Raw genomic sequence first — 22034 nt, forward strand, 5'->3', positions numbered from 1 at the left:
GGCTTGATGCATTCTAATTTATTTACAGAAACTGTGGGTTCACTGGCCACTCAGCAGTTGGAACACTTGCTCTTGAAATCGAGGATTCTGGTTCTGATAATTTCATAGACAACCTGTTTGTGATGTGTCTTCAGGGTTCAATGAATATTGTGATACAGTTATTGGATCACCAACAAACATAAAATGAAGTAATCAATTATCATGTACACAACTTAATTGAGGTCATTATTGGAGGAGCAGCATAGTACGAATGGTTCGGTCACACGGTTGAGATTCACATCCCATATACTCCATTTGCTAGCTATGTGACCTTACACTAGTCACCCAACCACTCTGTGCTCCAGTTTTACTCATATAAACGGAGAATAAGAGCATGCACCTTACATAGTTTCCATGAGAAGTAAGTCAGTATATGAAGTATTAATACTTAGTATATAGTGAGCACAATATAAACATTTGTTGAATACTAATAATTGAAAAAAATGACAACTGCCCATGGGTAAAAGAGAAGTTTTAAGTATGAACCAGAGTGCTAAAGAAACGTACTTATAAAATCATATATATTTTTTAAAATCACAACATTATCAACATTTATTGATGCTTGTAATACAGCATAATTCCTGCTTTCTTGAAGTTTGCAAAGAGAGAAAAAATGTATTAGAGACACTTAATCTATAGTTCTGAATGTAATAAAAAGAGCATAAAATGTTTTAAATTTGTTGATAATTCTCATATTACTCTCATCTTTTATCTGAATGAGATATAATATTCAATTTTATATACCTATTATTGTGCCACATAGACTACAAATGCCTGGTAAATTCATAGATGTGCATGGCCACTCATGCAGAAATGAAATATTTAACTACAAAAGTATCTTATATTTGGGAAGTTATTTGCTGACATTTCTTCCTCTGATATTTGGAGAGCATGCACAGTGATTTATGCACAGAAACTTGAAGGAAATGCTCCCATAGTGACTTTTGGAATATTGCTAATACATATTTTAAAAGTGCTTCCTACTATAAAGTTTTTCAAATGTTTGAAAAAAAATTTTATCATGTAAAAGCACATTGGGAAAACTCATCCACTGGAGGAATTTCTTAGTTCATATCATCAAAAACAATCAGAGAATATGGGTGTCCATTTTTTAATAATAAGGCAGCCAAAATGTGATGTGTATTAATTATGGTTATTAATTTAACTTTTGTTAAAGATCAATTATAATGCTTTTCTTGTAGGACAGCCCTTCATTACTTTTAACTAACACTAAACATTTGCATAGTAGAAAACTATTTTGGTTTGATGAGAGCAGTTATTACAGAAAGTTAAGCACTTGTGTTGTATATGAAACAAATCAGAGGTATTCCTCTTTGTAAGAAAACCTGATATATAAAAATTCAGACTGGACGCAGTGGCTCATGCCTATAATCCCAGCACTTTGGGAGGCCGAGGCAGGTGGATCATGAGGTCAAGAGATCGAGACCATCCTGGCCAACATGGTGAAACCCCGTCTCTACTAAAAACACAAAAATTAGCTGGGCGTGGTGGCAGGTGCTTGTAATCCCAGCTACTCCGGAGGCTGACGCAGAAGAATCGCTTGAATCCGGGAGGCAGAGGTTGCAGTGAGCCGAGATCACAGCCACTGCACTCCAGCCTGGGCGACAGAGTGAGACTCAGTCTCAAAAAAAACAAACAAACAAAAAAAACAATCAAACTTGCAAGAGATGAAACAGGGGGTGACTTCTTGTGTTTCAAGTGATTTTTTTACTTTCAAAAGGGTTTCTTTAAATAGTGGCTCTCTAATTATATGTCAGCATTAGTTGCAGACCAATCTACTTAACAAAATTTAGTTGTTAAAGAAACCAAAACTTAAAAGTGTGAGATGCCACTGCTAAGTAAAGTCTAAAATTGTGATGTAAGTGAATGGGAAATTTTGACTTATAAAAACATAATTTGTGTATTACATACATGAATTAAAATGAAAAAAATCACTGCATGTGCCTTTAAAATAAAATGTTAGGGACAGGAAGAATGTCAGGATATGATTGAAGAATTTAGAGTTAATGGAGGAAAAGTTATGTGTTGGCATTTATGCCTTCAGCCACAATTAGTATTACAGTGTAAGAAATTTCTGTAAATTTCAATGTCCAGTGGTGTGTATTTTTATATACTTAGAACATGTATGTGTGTTTTGCATGTTGAAAAATTGATGCCGGCCGGGCGCAGTGGCTCACGCCTGTAATCCCAGCACTTTGGGAGGCCGAGGTGGGTGGATCACGAGGTCAGGAGGTCGAGACCATCCTGTGAATGGTGAAACCCCGTCTCTACTAAAAACACAAAAAATTAGCCGGGCATGGTGGTGGGCGCCTGTAGTCCCAGCTACTCGGGAGGCCGAGGCGGGAGAATGACGTGAACCCGTGAGGCGGAGCTTGCAGTGAGCCGAGATCGCGCCACTGCACTCCAGCCTGGGCACAGAGCCAGACTCCATCTCAGAAAAAAAGAAATAAAGAAAAAGAAAAAGAAAAATTGATGCCAATGTTTTTGTAAAATTGGTAATTTTGACAGATTGCATGGTGAAAACAATTTCTTACCTGGTTGATAGAGATATTAGATAGAAAAAAAGTATTTGGGTGAAGTATCACATAAAAGCAATTTTTCAAACTAATATATATTAGCTAGCCTGGCTTATGTGGACATTCAATTGTATAAAAGTTAGAATTAGTTTTATGAAAGCTGTGAAAACTAGAACCCAAGAACATGAATGGAATTAATATTATTAATTAGAGCTGAACCAAACTACATAGCTGAGGGCTTGAACAGTTAAATTCTGTTTTATCAAGTGATAAGTCACTGCATTCCATATGGTTGTAAAACTTTTAATTTTTCTTGTGCTTCATTCCAATGTTAGCATAGAATTCCTCCTACCCTCATAAGACCACCCCAACTCTTACAGAAATTTGAATCAGCAAACCTAAACAAGGACAGTAGAGCTGTATATCTGGCAAAAGATACTAGAAATCAGTGTTGTTTTGTGTTTAGTGTAAGTCTTAGTCACAATGTATTCTTTTCAGACATATAGGCTTATGATCATCACAGTTCTGCAACTCCATGTCAGAATATATGGTCTTAAAATATGATTATCAGATTGTTTCCATGCACAATTATAAATATGAAAAATCTAGTTTGGATGCTAAAAATAATATTTCTGGGTGTAGTATTAAGCATAATAATTTTGTCATTGTATTATCTCAGAGAATGGACACATTCTACATGTCAGGACTAAAGGTCATTAATTATTATAGTATCAATTTAATTTTTAGTAATGTTGAATTATTAGAAAAATACTAAGTAAAAAATTTTAAGATTTGATTCTAATCTTTTTCCACAATTGATACCTAACAATCTTTCCAGATAGTTTATAAAACATTCTTAGATTGTTCTCAGTTTGTTTTTCTATATACTTTTTTTAGAATGTCATTTGAATACAATTGGATCAGATTCATACTTCATTTATAAAGTAGAATAAATGTAATTTTAAAGTAGAATAAAAAATGAAGTTACTGATTTGGTAATCATGATATTATCCAAAGTATTTCACTGAAACATGACTAAAAATGAGAAAACAATTAAAAGCCTCGAAAAGTAGAAATGGTTTGACAGTTTTCTTCTTTTCAAGACTGAAGCCAGAATTATAAATGTGGCTATGTGCACCCAGCTGAGCTGCCCTTTTTAAATAGAATTTATTATTATATGACTGCTTTGTGCATACTAGATATTCATGGTAGATTTTATTATTGATCCTAATTATTCATTCTTTACTTCCCTGAAATATGATATATATCCCTATGATTACCATGGTACTAGCAGTGCCTGTCTATTAGAGAAATGTACTTTCATACTCCATTGTTATCTGGTTTGGCCATATGACTTGCTTTGGTCAATGAAATGTAGGCAGAAGTGATGTATACCATAGCTAAGTAAACAATTGAGGGCCTTTGTGTGCTATGGTTCTTGCTCTTATTTCCCTCTGTCACCAGAATAGCATATTCCAGATGCAGGTTGCTATTCAAGCCTGGATCCTTGAATGAAGAAGGTGCATGAGATAGGAGCAGAATTGCAACCAACACTAGAAGCACAACTTTGTAGTTATTTTGTAATGATCATTACTGCAGCAAAACAACTTCTTAAATTTCTCCATCTATATGAAGAATTTTATTTTAAATATAATTTTCTTTTAGATAGGCCTTACTGATAATGATTTCTGTTCCCTGGTGTTTGTTTTCTGTGTATCTTCTTCTACATTTAATAAGACTGATCTGCGTAACTAATAGGATATTGCAGAAAGGAAAGAGTGTAATTTCTAAGGCTCAGTCATAGAAGACATGCACACTTCCATTTTTCCTGTTCTTGCTTCCCTTATTGTGGTGAAGTCACCTGCCATGTCATGAAAATACTCGTAACAGGCCTGTGTGAAAACGGACAGACTTTCTTACAATAGCCAGCACCTGCTTGGCAGTCATGAGGGTGAACTCTTTTGGAAGCTCATTCTCAAGCCCGAGGCAACATTGGGCTACAACCTTATGAGAGATTCTTTGCCAGAACCATCTGCTATGCTGCTCCTATCCCACAGAATTCTGATGCACAGAAAATGTGAGATAATAAATTTTTATTGTTTCTTTAAGTCACTAAGTTTCCATGTAATTTGTTACATGGCAATAAATAACTAATAAGATGATGTCTCAAGAGACTTCTACTTCTGCGTATGTGGCAGTATTTTCCAGCAGACCAAGGCCTCAGCCAAGAACAAGCCTAATAGAAGCAGAAGACATCTGTTTAAAGGCATTGGAGAGCTGCTAGGGCAACCAAAACTAGAAATGCCAAGATTCCAGAAAGGGGAAGACTAGTGAGTTAACACTATTCGGCCAGTTTTTCCCTGCAAAAGAAAAACCGGCTTGATTTTGGACCTAGAGCTAATGTCTGAGAACCTGGTATTCTCTAGGTAGAGGAGATAGAGAAACCAGGAAAGCTTTTGGTGTCTTGTAGTAGTGGAAAGACTTGAGGGGTAAGGATCTACTGAGCAGGGAAGACTGATCCTGACCCATCATCAGTTTTTCTTTCAAGACACTTGTCAAATTCTCGAGTTATGTGGAGGCTGGAGGCCAAGTAGTTAGTAGACATCTTCTCCAAAGCATATAGGAGTTATTGACAGTCTGTGATGTGGAAGTGACAAAGATGAGAGGTCAGCATCTGGAAGGGGAGGAGCCCTGGTAGGCTACTGGCAGGCTCTCAGCTGGAATTCCTAGAGGGCTATGCCGGAAGAGCTGGAGAAAATCAAAGGTAGAGAACCATTACCACAACATGAACACAGCTTCAACTCAGCTCAGCTTCTAAATGGATTAAGATGATTAAGCCTCTATTCTATTAATATTTTCCTTGCTAAGGAAGACAAAATTATCAGAGGCCTCTGCCATTTTTAATACAAAGTGTTTGTTATTCAAGTAAAAATATTACCATACATATTCATAAATCCAAGAGGAAAAGCACACAATGAAAGCAGACTCCAGTTGATCCAGTGATATGGTTCGGCTCTGTGTCCCCATCAAAATCAGTCTTGAGTTGTAATCCCCATGTGTGGGAACAGAGGCCTGGTAAGAGGTGATTGGATTATGGGGATGGATTTCTCCCTTGTTGTTCTTGTGATAGTGAGTAAGTTCTCATGAGATCTGATGGTTTAAAAAGGTAGCACTCCCCGCTCACTCTCTCTTCTGCCACCATAGTGTTAAGCGGTGCCTTGCCTCCCCTTCACCTTCCACCATGATCGTAAGATTCCTGAGGCCTCCCAGCCATGTGGAACTGTGAGTCAACTAAACCTCTTTTCTTTATAAATTACTCAGTCTCAGGTAGTTATTTATAGCAGTGTGAAAATGGACTAATACATTCAGATATTTGAGTTAGATAAAAGAGAGGCATCAGGAGAGAGCTCTGCGGAGAGACCTGGCCTTAGGACTCTGAGAAGATCTTTTTCTTCTTCTTGTAATTTGTAAAACTCTTCTGGTGCCACCCTTTATAAAGTGCACCTCTTTTTCCAGGCAAATTATCATACTAGTCAGTTTGATTTTCTCCAGAGCACTAACCTACATTCAAAATCCTCACATTTATATGTTTGTTTATTTTATTATTATTTACATCCACAATTAATATATGAATACCAAGAAACCAGGAATCCTAATTGTCTTGCTCAGGTGCATATGATTCAAGAACTGATGGACACAAAACAAATACAGTAACAACAACAGCAAGAACAATTACATATCTTAGAAGTAAAAATGCCCCAGTACTAGTTTTTAATTCATTAATTCTCTCCTTAACAGGTTCAAGTCTAAATTTTATCCTATTAGAAAATTAAAAAAAATTTAGTGATTATAGTTTTATTTTTAGGATATGTAAATGTTGTTGCTTTATGTCCACCTGTTCTTGATTCATGTGTGCCTGCAAAGATCACGTAAACCTGCACGTGGGGTATTTACATTTTATTTGGAGGAGAAAACAAAAATTAAGTAAACAAATATATAAATGTGAACATTTCAAATGGTAATTAATGCTCTGAAAAACAATCAAACTGTCTAGTGTAATGATCTGTCGAGAGGAAGGAATATACTTTATGTAGCATCACAACAGATGAATTTTACTAAGCAGAAGATGAAAAAATCTTTTCAGAGCCTTAGGTGAGGTCTTTTCCAAAGGGTTTCTCCTGCTTGCCTCTCTCCTCAGGCCTGGTTTTCTGCAGCTTACTTTTCTCCAGTGGGGATGTACTTCAAGGAGTCTATCTTGTCCATAATCCAATCCCCCATTCTTCTCAGAGCTATGAAAAGGAAAATAAACCAACCATTTTCAAATGAGGAAATAATCTGCAGAAAGTCTGCCCATAAGACTGATCACCCTCTATGCGGAGAAATTCATCAACTGACAGAAGGGATGGTCTTCATGGCAGAATGGGAAAAACTTGCATAATCAAAAATCCCAATAAAGAACTTTTACTCCTTTCCCCCCAAATAAAAGGCAAATTCAAGCCTAAACTACTAGGGCAACATTTTTGAGAGTGCTTTCCTCATGCATAGGGACTGAGGTACAGTACTAGCTAAAAATGTAGATTCCTGGTCCCCACCCAAGACCTAATGGCTCTAGGGATGGAAACTAGGAATCTATGTTTTTGGCAGTCAGCCAAAGTGAATCTTATGCAAGTGTAAGTTTAATAACCTCTATCAAATGGCAACTCTTCTTCTTTCAAGGAGTCTATTTTTAAATTTGTTTTTGATGAACCAGATTTTATGTGGTCTAGATTACAAAGTTTGAGAAATAAAATGGTTAAGATTAACACAAAAAATGCAGAAGTTTAACTTGCAAAGGATTATAAAATAGCGGGCCATTCCATTTCTCACTAGAGCTTTAAAATGCTATGTTTTAGAAAGGGAAACCACAAGTAATAAAAGTAAAGAGATTATTTATATAGCACTGCCTTCTGATGAATGCGTGATACTTATTACTTCTCTTGTAGAATATTTTCATGGCATGTTCAAGTTTCACTTCGAGATGACAGATGAGAGTGTTAGAAGTTCCAACCAATAAATCTAGTTCTCAATCAACTATCAGTAATGTAAAACAGAAGATTCATGTTTTTTCCTTAGTGAGATTCGTATTTATTTTTTGTTTCAGTTTACTGATAAATTACTATATGGAGGTACATATAAATTACTATATGAGGTAAACCACAATGAATAAAGCCAGGTTTATCAGTGCTCTGAAAGAGTTTACATTCTTATGGAGAGACAGACAATCAATAAAATCGCAAATAAAAATACAGTTATAAATTGACTGCATCTATAGTGAATTTTCTAAATTTTTTATGAACTCCATCTGACAAAAACAAATCTAAAACAATCAAGACCTTCCATTACAATAGCAAATGACTATAAGGATTGTCAGCTTCATATTTTGTTTTGACTTAGTTTAATATTTATCTCCTAAAAGTGTCATGTTTCTCTCTCTGTCACATAATTTATCTGTAGGAACATCTGTTGTGTGTGTGTATAATGTCTATGGAAAGATTAATGTGACAAAGATTTGGAAATAGCTAAAAACAGCAATGAGCCTGTAGGGCATAATGACCTAGTGATTTGGTTAGAAATGGTTATATGTATTCCTCAAGGATCTCATGGATTGGGGATGTTATCATATTGGAGAGTATATATCAGTAGTTTTTTTCTGTTCCAGGTATTGACAAGATCCTATCAACTTTTCCAAATAGGGAATTTCCCCAGTCAATTTTACCAGGTCTTCTGAAAACAAGGTGATAAAATTCTTTTATGGGTAACAAGGCCATTGTTTGTGTCTGAGGGACTGAGACAAGCAGACAAGAGAAAGCTTACAGCCTTCTAGAAACTTCAGTGACAAATCTATGGAATTTCAGCTTAGGCAGACACATTAACTCATTTAAATTTTGTCCACTCAATGATTTGTATTTTTAAAAATTTCACTGGGTGAGGTGGCTCACGCCTGTAATCCTCACACTTTAGGAGGCCAAGGTGGTAGGATCACTTGAGCCCAGGAGTTCGAGACCAGTCTGGGCAACATAGCAAAACATTGTCTCTATTTTTTAAAATATTATCCATTTGTTTATCGAATGTGAAACTTGGGGGGCTTGGGCTTGTTTATGTCTTCTTTCTTTCCTTAATGACAAACCTCCTAACCAAAGGAAGTAGATACATCATGCGCGATTAAGAATTAATAAGCATGCTGTGGTGATGATCTACCTCAAAACAAATCACCTCACGACCATCCTGAACCCATTTCACATCCACCCACAGCGTTTTCCGTGAGATGCACTGTTTCACTTAACTTGCTCAGCACACAAGCCCCACATGTCAAGTTATGGATATCCAGGAAAAGCACTAGGAGGGTGTCTGATATTTCTGTGTCAGCTGAGACAAAAGCATTTGACACTTCCCGTCAGCTGGCATTGACTAAGGTATTCTAGGCTGCCTTAAATAATGTGATGTGAAGGCAACAGTAGAAGCTGGGGGTGGGTTAGTGGGGAGAAGTAGAGTTTTACAAATCCACAATTAAAAAAGAATTTGAGCCTGTCAAAATACCTTTCAAACTTTCTCATATCCTACTTCCCAAGTTATAATCCCAGAGGAAAATCAGCTGAAGAGAAAATGTTCTGCTGCCCCTTGTTCGTAGTGGGGTGCAGGTAATCAGGACTTGGCAATTTGTATCTCTCCCTCTGACGTACAGTGCAGCATTTGTATAATTTATCTCTTCATACATATTTCATTATTATTAATCATCATAAATAAGTAAATCAGATCTTTTAATGACATAGGGGTTGAAGAGATAGACTGTCAGGGTGTGACAGTGCTGCATAGTCATCATTAGGGGGATTTATTATTTTTGAAAAAAGCAAGTTAAAAGACTCAGCTCAGTAGTCAAAACTGCAATTTGGGTTTTATTGCGCAAAAACCTAAAGTGGAAACACTTCTTCTGAAACTGTTTAACATACATGTAATTCAAACAACCTTCTTTACAAGGCCTTCAGTGCATTCACGCTAATACAACAAAGTTCTCTGCCCAAGTTATTCCTTTCAAACTTCATAGTTCAAGCGCAACATGAATACCTTGGCCATAGGAACTCACTGAAGCAGCAAACACTGAGCTCAGTATCTCTCCTTCAAATAACAGGATTCTGGGGAAGCCTCATTTTGCTCCCTTCAGAGGCAATTAATGGTTTTGAATATACCTGGAGATTATTCATTCTAGGAGACATCTCAAAGCTGCAGGTCACATTTCACTTTGGTCTGGTAAGAATCCAAATAAAAGAGAAATTTAAAAATGTAGGCAATTTTTATTTTAATATTTTTGCCTGCAAACTGTTCTTGCTTCCTTTGGCAAAGAAATAAAAATTTCCATTCTAGGGAGCTTCAATGTATCACATGAATATTACATTTTTACCTCAATTTAACCATTTCAAACAGGAGGGGGAAAAAAAAAGCTTAAAGAAGAGCCAGTGCCGGGCAGGGTGGTTTGGTTCTCCAGAGCTTACCTGGAGAGATGGCCACCGTGGAAAGAGGGTCAGCACACATCAAGGAACTGCCTCTTTTAAAGGCTGCTGTATGATCACTGACTCATAATCCCACAGGCTCAGCATGATCTCAGGTGCTTTTGATTTCTGGTTTGGGTCATCATTGAAAAATGGACAGAATATATCATGAGGTTTGTAAGGTGACTTCAAACTCTTATAAAAAATGGCCTTCTCACTTAAAATTTAAATATATATTTCTTACTGCACTGTATAATAGGGTTTACTCTAAATCAATGCTCTCAACCCCAGCGAACGTTAGAATCCCTAAGGGAGCTTTAAAAACAGTAGGAATGCCCAGTCTCACCCAGTATCTGATTTTAATTGATCAGAGGTGCGGCTCAGAAATTTTTTAAAAGTTTTCCAGATGATTATATTGTGCAGCCAGGATTGAGAACAACTGCTCTAAATGCTTAGAATACGGATGGAAATTATCTTGATTACTTTTCTAAGCATGCTTCATGTTTTAGTTTATGAGATGGAGGAAGGACATTTATCATTGATATGTCATATCGCAGGACCTTGAAGCTTAGTCTGAAAAGTTTTGAGAAAATGATTTGTTTCCATATTCTTTTTCTTTATCTTTTAGCATTTGTTTTATTTCCGGTTTTTCTAAAAGACACACACATGTAAAAACAAAAATATACAAAAAAATTCTGAAGTCATCTTTGAAACTTTTTTTTTTTTTAAAAAAAGGTTATTACTGGAAATATATTATCCATGACAGTGCTTCATACTTCTTTTGGGATAACTTAAAATTTTATTTTTTTTTACTCCTCCCTTTTTTTCTTCCTTCCTTCACCAAACAAACATACGTAAAGCATCAAATGATTCATCAAGAGATTGAAAAACAAATTCTTATCACATGACAAAGTAGATGGAGATTCACACTTTTTAAAATCAGTACCACACACAATATCAATATTCCTCTCTAGAGTGGAGTAAGGAATTGAAGTAAATATCAAAACAAAACAAATATGTATATACAAAGTAATGCTACTGATTATAATGACCATGGGTACTTTTTTGCCTGAATTATTTGGTAATTTAATATATTTTTTGAGCAAGTTAAATGACCATAAATAATGTTAGGAGCCAAAACAAAAGGAAGGGTGCAGTAGTGTGTGGTTTGTATTAAAAGAAAAAAAATGAACTTTCCAGAATTGTAGAGAAGAAAAGTCTTTTGGAAATCATTATGTCCATTTGCCTTCAATTTATAAATAAGAAAATTTAGGCTAAGAAAACTACCAGTTTTTCTCTTGTCATTTCTTTGGTTATATAAAGAGCAAAAGCAACTGACTTCTCTCACAGACAAAAGTACAGTTTAAAAGTTAGAAAAGTGTTTACAAGTAAGTGAGTTTTAAAAATTGAGTCCAAATTAAAGGATATCCAAATAGCTCTTTTACTAAATTTTGTGTATCTGATGGATTTTATACTGAAGAAGGAAAAGTGAATATAGATATTTGAGGATGTTGATATCAACAAAATTAAAAGTATTTGAAAATCTCTTGCAAAGCATGATGTATGAATGTGTTACCATGTAATTATCTAGAGCTCTGCACCTTGCAACAGAGTGAAAGTAAGTGCCTGTGATTAGGTCCCATTATACGTAATGAACCTATTACGACACATCTGATCTCAAAATGGATTTACACTAATAAATACTTTTATCAAAAAAATGCATGCTAAAAGTAAATATTTGATTTAAAAACTATACTGGTAAAACATATTTAATCACAAATATGTTAAATAATAGATTCTTTCTTCTAATAAACACTAAATAGAAATGAGAGATGCCCATTACATGCTGATTTTTTTTTTGTTTCATTAATACTAAATGTTCAAGGCTATGGTACTATATTTCACCCTCTAATTGAACAATTTAATGTCCAGATAATAGAAGCTCCAAATATATTGTTACCATAGTGAACATTATTTAAAATATCTTAAACACCATGCATGTCCAGGCAGAGGCTTTTATTCAACACCATGAATAAAAGATGTACTCATATTTGCCAGTGAGATTTGGGAAAAGAAGATTAAAACTGCTGAGAGACATTGTTTCTTAGTGCTCTAGAATATAGCTAGAAATACCTGCACGATTTTAATGTAGACCAGGGAAATGGTCTTCATCTTGGAGGGCTAAATAAGATGTCAAAATTAGACTGAAAGTTTCTCCAGTCTCTGAGACACAAATTCCTGAAATACTCCAGGAAATTCCGGAATTAGCTGGCATTCAGCACCTAGCTAATCATGAACTATTTACATGCATTCATGTGATAATCTGGATGGGGACACAGGACTGGAGTCCTTTTAGAGTTCTTTGTATTAAGGTAGAAATGGGTCAGATTCTTGGTTCATTTTGTTTTGCAGTAGAACCTTGGACCCACTATGGAATACTCACAGCAGTCGAAGGAAAGGCTGGAATGAGACTGGCTTCTGGGAAGAATTACAGCAAAGCCATCAAGAAACTGCACTTTGGGGTCCTATACAACTGAATACTAGTTTGAACTCTAGTTTCATTACTAATAATCTTTAAGATATTGCCTAAATTATTTAATCTAAGCCTTAATTTTCTTATCTGTTAATCAGTAACATCTATTTTGAAAGGTTATTTTGAGGATAAAAAGAGATTGTCTATGTAAAGAGTTTAATACAATGCCAGCACATAGTAAATGCACAAAACTTTTACTCATTCAGTAAGTACTTCTATGAATCAGTGGAGTGGACTCCATAATTTTTGGGGTCCAGTGGAAAATAAAAATGTGGGCTTTCTTGTTCAAAAGGCAGGAAAAATTGTTATAAAGGTATTAAAATATAAAGCTTTTTCTTTCTTCAGCAATCTCTTTGACGTATCATGGGTTTTTAAAAACATTTTCATTTTTTAAAAAATATAATTTTAAATTATTAATATCACTTTTACCAATTATTTTTATATTGTGGCATGCCAGTTTTGAATGAAAATATAAGTGCATTTAACATATATCCAGATTCGCCCAAATGATGCAATTTGTATTTTACAGTTTGTATAAACATCTATTTCATTCCTATAAAATAGTAAAACACTGCATAAAACTAACTCAATTGGTTCATTTTCACTTCTTAATGTGTGCACATTCTACCAATACTCATTATGTTTGTCTTGAGTAAGGAAGAACTGAAAGGAAAGGGAACTGTGGGTTGCCCTATCTGCCATTCCTTTGTATGTCATCATTTTCTATGTCTGTGGTGAGCTAGTGAAGTAGTAGAAAGAAAGAATATAAAAGGGTGACTCGGTCATTATTGTTTCTTAGCACACCATTGCCTTCTAATTGGTTGGTTAGAACACCAACACCTTGTGCTTTTGAAGCAAGTTCCAGTTTGAATAGAAAGCCTGGACTCTTGGGTCTGTCAGTACCTCACTTATGCAGACATGAATGTAATACACTTACCTTGTACTTGCTTTGAGTCTTGTTGCATGCCCACACTTGTGGACCCATTGGAATTCTGCACTGATGGGGCACTGTGAATGCAACATGAAAATGATGCAGCAAAGAAGAGAGGACATATATTTTGAGTGTATTTCCTCTGCTCACATGCATATTTCAGTGTCCCATTGGACTTCACATACAAAACACAAGTTCAAAGATAAAATTATGAATCTCCAGATGGCAACAGCAGATTAATTAATTAATTAAGCCAAGCAGAGACCTCAGTATAATTGCATAGGTTATGCACCCATGAAGCCAGCCCTTTGTGTTAGGCAATGCTTTACGTGTTGAGAAACAGAGTTGAAGAGTAATGTCTGTGCCATTGCTTCACAGAGCTTACAAGTATATGAATAGATAAGTAAAGAAACTTCAGAGGGTGATAAGTGTAATTAAAATAAGAAAATTGTTGGTGCATTACAGATAAGTGATTGGATGGACCATTTTATATATGGTCATTAAGAAAAGCTTTTCTGGGGAGCTGACATTTGAGCTGAGACTTACATAGGACAAGGTGTTAGACATACAAAGATCTAAGGAAAACCAGTTCCTGGCTGAAGGAGCAACACACACCATGATTTCAAGGAGGGAATGAGTTTGGTGAGTTGCATTGCTACCAATTACAGGGTAGCTTGATGGTGTCTGGAATGAACACAGGTCCTCTGGCACATTGCTACTCAAAGTGTGCTCCCAGGACTAGTGCCATCAGCATCACCTTAGAGCTTATTACAAATGCAAGAATTTTGTTTCCCACCCCAGACCTTTGGAATAAGAATCTGCATTTTTAGCATTTTAGCATGACCCCAAGGTGATCTGATGCATATTGAAGTTTGAAAGGCACTGAGTTAGAAGACCAGTATGTTTGAAGTCTAATGAATAAGTAGGATGAGCTTGGAGAGGAAGGTGGGGCCAGATCTTGTAAGCTTTATCAACCAAAAAAAGAATTTAGATATTCTTCTAAGTGCAAAGAAATCTATTAGATAATTTTAAAAGGGGAATGCAGTTGGGAATAATAGAGATTTTCATGGTTGAGAACCACTAGAAAGGGTAGAGAGATGCCAAAAGAGATGTGAGAACAATTTACAATTTTCCAAATTGCTCTAAGCCTTCTCAGTGATGACAATACCACAGAACAGCCATAGAGTTCACCCAAGGGTGTTGATCCCACATATAGACCTTTGTCATAGTGTGTTATATCACTGTATTGTTTGCAATTGCATTTGTTTCTTTTCTACTAACCAAAAATTTTTCTACAGCATAAATCACATTTTGATCTTCTTTGTACTTTTAAGGTCCTTTAAGATTGCTTGGTGCATAGTTTTCTTGTAAGCGTAATAAAAGTGTGTTGATTTGTGTTGATTGAAAAAATGTAGTTAAGAACAGGAGAGCTATGCATTTTTATAGGACACTAGCCTGTCCTCAACTCTTCTTCATTTCCTCATGCTTTGAGCACATCAAATTTTAAAATGCAGTAGTAGGAGAAAAATACTGAAATGTTTGAATGCATGACTCTTTAGCTGAATAACAGTAATTTTTATATTTGTTAAAACTTCTAAAATGATACTTGTTATAATTCTTTGACACTGTGTTGGCATCAGGCATTTGTTCTATGAGATATATTATAAAAGCCCAGGAGGGCAGTGTTGCAGAGTGGCACATTCAGAAACCAAGCAAATGACACACACCGTCTTCCATGACACATCTCTGGCCTCAGACCTGTTGTCAGAGCTCTTTGAACTCTTAGCTCCTGAATTGATAATTTACCTTTGTCTAGAAAAATTCAGGAGATTCTAATGGGGCTACTCCCTAACTCTATACTATGGGAAACTCCTTCTGAGTAGGAAGAGAAGCACAACCTCATTTGCTGCTTTCCAGGTGTTTCTGTTAACAGGTAAAAGTTGACAACAGCCAAAGTCAAAATTCAGTGTAAGAGAACATTTAAGAAGAACTAGTTGCTGTTATTTTCTTCAGGAAATATACCAATCGTTATATTTCTTATTACTTGATTGACACATTAGTTTCTGGCCTCCCTGCTTACCACATCTAAAATAGGATTAAGACTTTTTTTGAATTAGTGAATTACAGTTCAGTTAGATAGACTGTATCATATTATACTGAAAGCTTCTATGAAATCTAATTTGATTTCACTGCTTCCAACATAAGAGCAAAAAAGAATTGTTATCAATTCATTTATTGAGTTTCAGTGCTGAAAGTTCCCTATTTTTTAATCAATATACACTGTACTTACTTGAAAGCCTAAATCTAAGTTTGAATCACTCTTTTGAATAACAGGCTCCCTTTCCATCAGTGAAAGGTTGGTTTGTCAGCATGGATTCACTCTTGAGTACATAATCATTTTAGTAACCTGTGAGTACGTGTCAAACATTATGTGCTGGAACATGGTGTCAACTATGACTAGTTTAATAGATATTTCTCCCTGCTCTGGCCATTCATCATGTCTATAGCTATATCTTCACCAAAGGACTAGGTACAATAAACGTGCTTCTCATGGAGATTTTTATCAATGTCAGATTATAAACACAAAATTCCTCAGGCAGAAGATAATCTTTCAGGTGGTTAAGAATTTTATTTATTTATTTTGCACATATGTAAATGCAAAGAAGATTCAGGCTTCTTGCCATTCCAGCTATCAGGGGTGTTACCTTCGTTTTTTGATGCTAATCCAGCTCCTTAGATTTTATACATCAATTTTTAAAATTAGAGAATTAGGAACTGAACCTGCGAGCCGTAAATTACAAGAAAAAAATAGTAGGCATCAGAAAACTTAGAAAATTAACACACCTGATCTTGCTGTGTGTATCATCTTTATAAAATCCTGAATGACTGAAAGTCACTGTACCCCATTTCATTATACAACAGCCACTCGAGGTGCTTTAATATCTTGTATCTCATGTTTCTATTTCTTGTGTACCATGATACTTGCTATGGATTGAATGTTTGTCCCTTCCAAAATTCATGTTAAAACTTAATCCCAATGTGGCAGTATTGAGAGGTGGGGCCTTCAAAAGGTGATTGGGAAATTACGGCTTTGCCCTCATGAAGGAATTAAACCATTCACACATCAATGGATTAATGAATTATCATGGGAGTGGGACTGGTGGCTTTTCAAGAAGAGGAGGAGAGATCAGAGCTAGCAAGCTCAACCCCTCCTCATGAGCTGCTCTGCACTACTCAGGGACTCTGCGAGGGTCCCCGCCAGCAAGAAGGCCCTCATCAGATGAAGCCTCTTGATCTTGGACTTCTCAGCCTCTATAACTTTATGAAATAAATTCTTTTCCTTTATAAACTACCCAGTTTCAAGTATTCTGTTATAAGCAAGAGAAAAAGGACTGAGATAGTAAACTACTGGGCCCCCACCCCTTCAATGAGAATTTTACTGCTGAGGCCATTTAACTTCATACTAGATTCTGGAACAGGTCATGTTCTATGGAATAAAAGATAAGTGGTTACAAGATGAGCTCTGAATCTAGGCTTACCTAATTCTCTGATTTGGATCCTGGATCCCTGCCTTGATGCCTGGATCCCTGCCTTGATTCCTGAATCCCTGCAATGACTGGGACTGCTTTCCCCAGACTAGGTTCTTTCTGTTGGAGCCTTCCTATGCTCATTCGCAGGTCAAGCCAATCCCAATCCACCCATCTGCTTCACTCTCTGGCAAATGCTGCCATTCTCCTTGAGAGGTCAGGTGCCCCTGAAGGTGAAGATGATCTGGTTTTTTTTTTGTACACAGTTTTATCTCTTTAGCCAACAGTACTCACATCATTCTGTCTCTTAGAATTCAAGACAGATCTTTAATTTCAGATTCCCATTTTCTCATACTAAAACCCCCCCACCCTTGGCCTTTCTTTCATGATTAGCCTTCTAGCTTCTATATGTTTATGAATCCATATAAATATGATTTTTTTTGTGATTGAACTCTGTTGAGCTGCCTGAGCTTGAATTATGAGTGGAAGGGATTCTAAGAAATCTGGTGGTTGATATATTATAATTCTTGGCAAAATTATTAATCTTGGAATATTCATTTTGCTCTGATAGTGTATGGTAGCACATAAACCATTCTATTACACAGATAGTAAATCTGAATAATAATTTCTATTTTGGGTACTTGCTATGTATCAGATATTTTGTTCATTGGCTTATAAACATTGCTTGATGTTTACAATGTCTTCAGTCTCAAAAGAATTTTATGAAGTAGGTGTTATTTCTCACATTGTACAGATGAGACCCAGAGAGATTGAAACATACACCCAAGTGACAGCCAGTAAGTGCAGGAAACAGTTTTTGACCCTCAGTGTGTCTAAGTCTAAAATCATATTCTTAATCACTACATTAAATATGTGTTTAAAGACAGTGTATATTTCAAATTTCTTAATGGTTTGTATTGCCTTCTGCTTCAATAAGATTGCATCAATAAGGTTTTATTGTAGATTATGTGCTTTAAAACACCCAAATGTCTGATGCTAAAGTAACAGAGTGGTTTAAAGTGATTTTATCTAACAACCTTTTGCCTCTGTCTTATCCAAGATATTGGTTGCCTGTGTGGAAAAGCACAATACTAGCACGATTTTTCCACTTCGAACATGAAGCCCTTCCTCTAAATACCAGAAACAAAAATAACAGCAGTGGGTGAACATTTTTCAAAAAAAACATTTATTTCCTATCCAGATATAGAAAAACATGAGACAGCTTATGACATTGAGACAACAATAGAAATGATTAGAAATAAAGACACAATAAGAAATAGAAGCTACAGGCAAAAATCAAGCACCATATTTAGTACTAAAAGCTAAAATAAGAGGGAAGTCTGTGGAGTTATAACATTTTTATTCTCAAAAAAATAAAACATCCATTCTTTAGACATCTAACGGGACCAAGATGTTCTGATTTGAAGAACTAATCACGATGATTCAATTGGCTTTTTTCTTATATTGATTAAAGGAGAAGGGCATCATGTTAAATCTTAAAGAGAGAAAAGAAGACTAACATTTGGTGAATACCTATTTGTGCATAACATTACATGAGGCATTTTTACATTGCTTAAGCACATCTTCCCCCCAAAATCTCTAAATGGATACCTCTACTGTAGCAATACTGAAAGTGTGCTGATGCCCCTCTTCCCCCTGCTAGACTGTAAACTCCTTGAATAGAGAGATGTCTTATTCATCCTTTCTTAAAATCTATGTATCTGTCAAATGGAATGTGATCTTTCCTATCATTTCTAAAGTAGCCATATTCCCACAAAATCACTGCTCATTCTGTTTTATTGTCTTCGTAGTTTCCATTACTTATCTGAGTTTATAGTGAATGACTTCTTTATTGCCTTTTTGTTTTCTGAATATTTTACTAACATACAAGCTATCAGGACATGGAATTTGGCAGCCTTGTTCAAAGATTTAACCTTATCCCTTAAGACCTTATCCCTTAAGTGTTAGTGTATGGTCAAAATTCATATTGGCCAATAAATGAATAAAACTTTGTACAGCTAACTGCAGCACAAAATATGATTCCTAACAGGTACTCTAAATTTGTTTGCTGAACCAGCCTGAATTTCTAAAATTCCCTTACTGGTGAGGAAACTGGGCTCGAGGAGATTAATTTTTTCAAGGTTACACATTTAACATTTGGAGAGGCTGGAATATGACCTCAGGTCTATACATACCCTATGCTCAACCAACACTGCCTCAGGGAAATGCAAGAATAGTGTGCAGCCATGTTGATTTCCGGTGATGCATCTCATTAGAGAGATAAATCTTAGACAATCTAGAGAGATGAATGGATAGTTAATTTCACATAAGCTTTGGCAATTGAAATCAATTCATGGGTGATTTCTTTGTCTTATTAAATTAAAAGAGATCCATAAGCTTTACCAATCAGATAAGGGTGATGCAGAATTATTACTCTGTTGTAAAAGGTGAAGAACTTAAAATGTACTTTCCTTTAAAAGGCCAGCCCACTTCTAGATGGAAGAGGGCAAAGAGGGTACCTTTCGGAAGGATCAAATTTTTCCTTAAAGGGAACTTTAAATCTACTCCAGCCCTTGAAAAAAAATACTTGTTACAACATGTGTCATTGCTTTATTAAATAACATGAAAAAGGCATTTAGTCTTGAAAAAATGTTAATGGCGTATATTAGTAATGGAAGTGAGTTGGCCAGAAATAAGTTTATATATGTCCTATGAAATGTTTAGTTTTCTGAAAAATGCTTTATCATGGTAGCTGATCAAGATGAGTGAGATACAAAATGCAGCCAAAGTAGCTGAATGAATTGGCCTGTTGAATTAGGTTTTTAGTATTGTTTACCTGAATAATAATGTTTACCAAATATAGATGGAAATAATTTTTACTAAGCTGCTACTTCTGACAATAATTAATAGCTACTGTCAGCTGCTTCTGAAAGTCTGCTCCTAGTTAAACATAATAAAAAACATACGTAGCAGAGAATGACTCATGATTTGCCCATGTAGTAGAAATAACATATGCCACAGAGTCCATCACACCCAGCTTCAAATTTTGATTATGCCACTTAATAGAGGAGAGAGACTGAGGATGTTACCCCTCTCATCTTAGTAAAGTTGTTTTGAAAGTGATATGGAGTAATATATGTGAAGTACTTTCCCAATCCAGTGCTTGCCCAAAGCAGTTGGAACTCAGTAAATCTTCTACAACCTAGATACACACTCTAAAATTGTGTCTTACATTTGACCGAAGCACTAGGAGAGAATTCAGATCTTCATTGTATCTGTTCAAGAAAATAAAATGCACTCTAATTCGTAACTAACTGCAATGTTTCCTAAATTCCTTCTTTTTTCCTCCAACATTTTTATGCCTTCACAGCTTCTCTGATGCCTCTCGCTTAGTGAGAGGATAAATAAGCCTCTCACTTATTTATCCCTTAAATAACAATTACAACTCATTTTTTTCTAAACCCAGTTTACATCATTAATGAATTAATTTTATTTATGGTTGGTGTCTACAGAATGCTAGAAGCAACTAGATAGTTACATACAGAGAATTTCATTATAATTCATTCACGCAAAATAAAAGTAAATTAGGGCATTCAGTCTTCAATCTAAAGCTGGGATGGCTCTAAGGTTAGGGGAATTCTATTTGAAGATTGGAGAATCAGCTTGTACAAAACTGCTAGACTGGAACACCCCTCCAACCTGCCCAATGCTTCCCAGTGTCTTGGCCCTGAGCTCCATCATTCAAACTTGGTTTTGGTGTATGACTAAGGTAGGCACAGAAAGAATTGGAGAGATTTCTTTAGGTTACAAAAATGTCCAGCATTGCTTAATAAATCTTGACTACAATTTGTTTCTTCAACTTTTATATAGAACAAGACTTGTTCTTTAAGCTGTGTTCTAAGCCTGCCAATGAAAGGCTTATAGTGAACACAGACATGGAGTACTTTTACCTCTTTATTGATTTGCAGCTATAAATGCCCATTTCTATCCACTTTGCTATACACTTGGTTCTAAATGAAGTCTTCCAAGGAAATCAAGTCACAATCACTTTAGGTTGGAAATCCTTCTAATAGACTTTCACTTAAGCCCATGCTTTCTCAACATTCAGGGCCTAACATGATTTCAACATGTGGATTCCATGAACTACCCAGAAATTTAAGTCTCTGCTCCTATTCCAGGCACAATATTGCCTAAAATTCTTTGGTTTCTGGCAGAGCGAAGCCACTGTGAGTGGTTCCAAAGCTTGCTTAATTGCAAGCCACAAGAGGGCAGCCATGTCCCAGGGCTTCCATTTCTGTGGCTGTATGGGGCAGCATCCCTAAACCAATTTGAGTAGCTCCAACACTGACATCTCTCTATCCAAACTAGATGTCCATAGAGGTTGAGGTTAAAATTAGTTTTGATTTTACAACTTTACAACTGAATTTTGAAAATTATACATAACATTACATAAATCTGGTTTTCTTCCCCCAAATTCCAACATCAGTGTTGAGATTTATGTGTCTCTCTAAGTTGAAGTTGTATTCTCAGAACCATAACTTTCATGTTTGGACAATAGGCACCTATTTCCCACAAAATCCTAATAGTGACATGAGAATTTATCTGGATCAAATCTAGAAAGTTACCCTTTAATCTGAGGTGTGGTTAAGCATATTACCAAAGAGTTACAAATCTATAAAGAACCCCCAAAATGTAAAAGCTGGGACCCAACAAGACATCGCCTTTAAAAGTGTTGTATTCAAGTGGCCAACTAACAAATGAAAAAATGCTCAACATCACTAATAATCAGGGAAATGCAAATTAAAGATGAGATCATCTTACACCAGTCAGAATGGCTATTATTAGAAAGTTAAAAAGCAACAGATGTTGGCGTGAATGTGGAGAAAGGGGAACACTTACACACTGCTGGTGGGAAGGTAAATTAGTTCAACCTCTATGGAAAAC

At 35.8% G+C, this 22034-nt stretch overlaps 1 annotated feature.

Annotated features, from left to right (window-relative positions):
• Positions 21274–21413: a silencer, noted in NCBI's record as "silent region_18547". NCBI's record gives its function as "represses an Ori minimal core promoter by ATAC-STARR-seq in GM12878 lymphoblastoid cells {active_cell/tissue: GM12878}" and the evidence as "EXISTENCE:reporter gene assay evidence [ECO:0000049][PMID:35858748]".

The sequence above is a fragment of the Homo sapiens genome, chromosome 7 (genome assembly GCF_000001405.40).
Source record: "Homo sapiens chromosome 7, GRCh38.p14 Primary Assembly".
Lineage (NCBI taxonomy): Eukaryota > Metazoa > Chordata > Mammalia > Primates > Hominidae > Homo > Homo sapiens.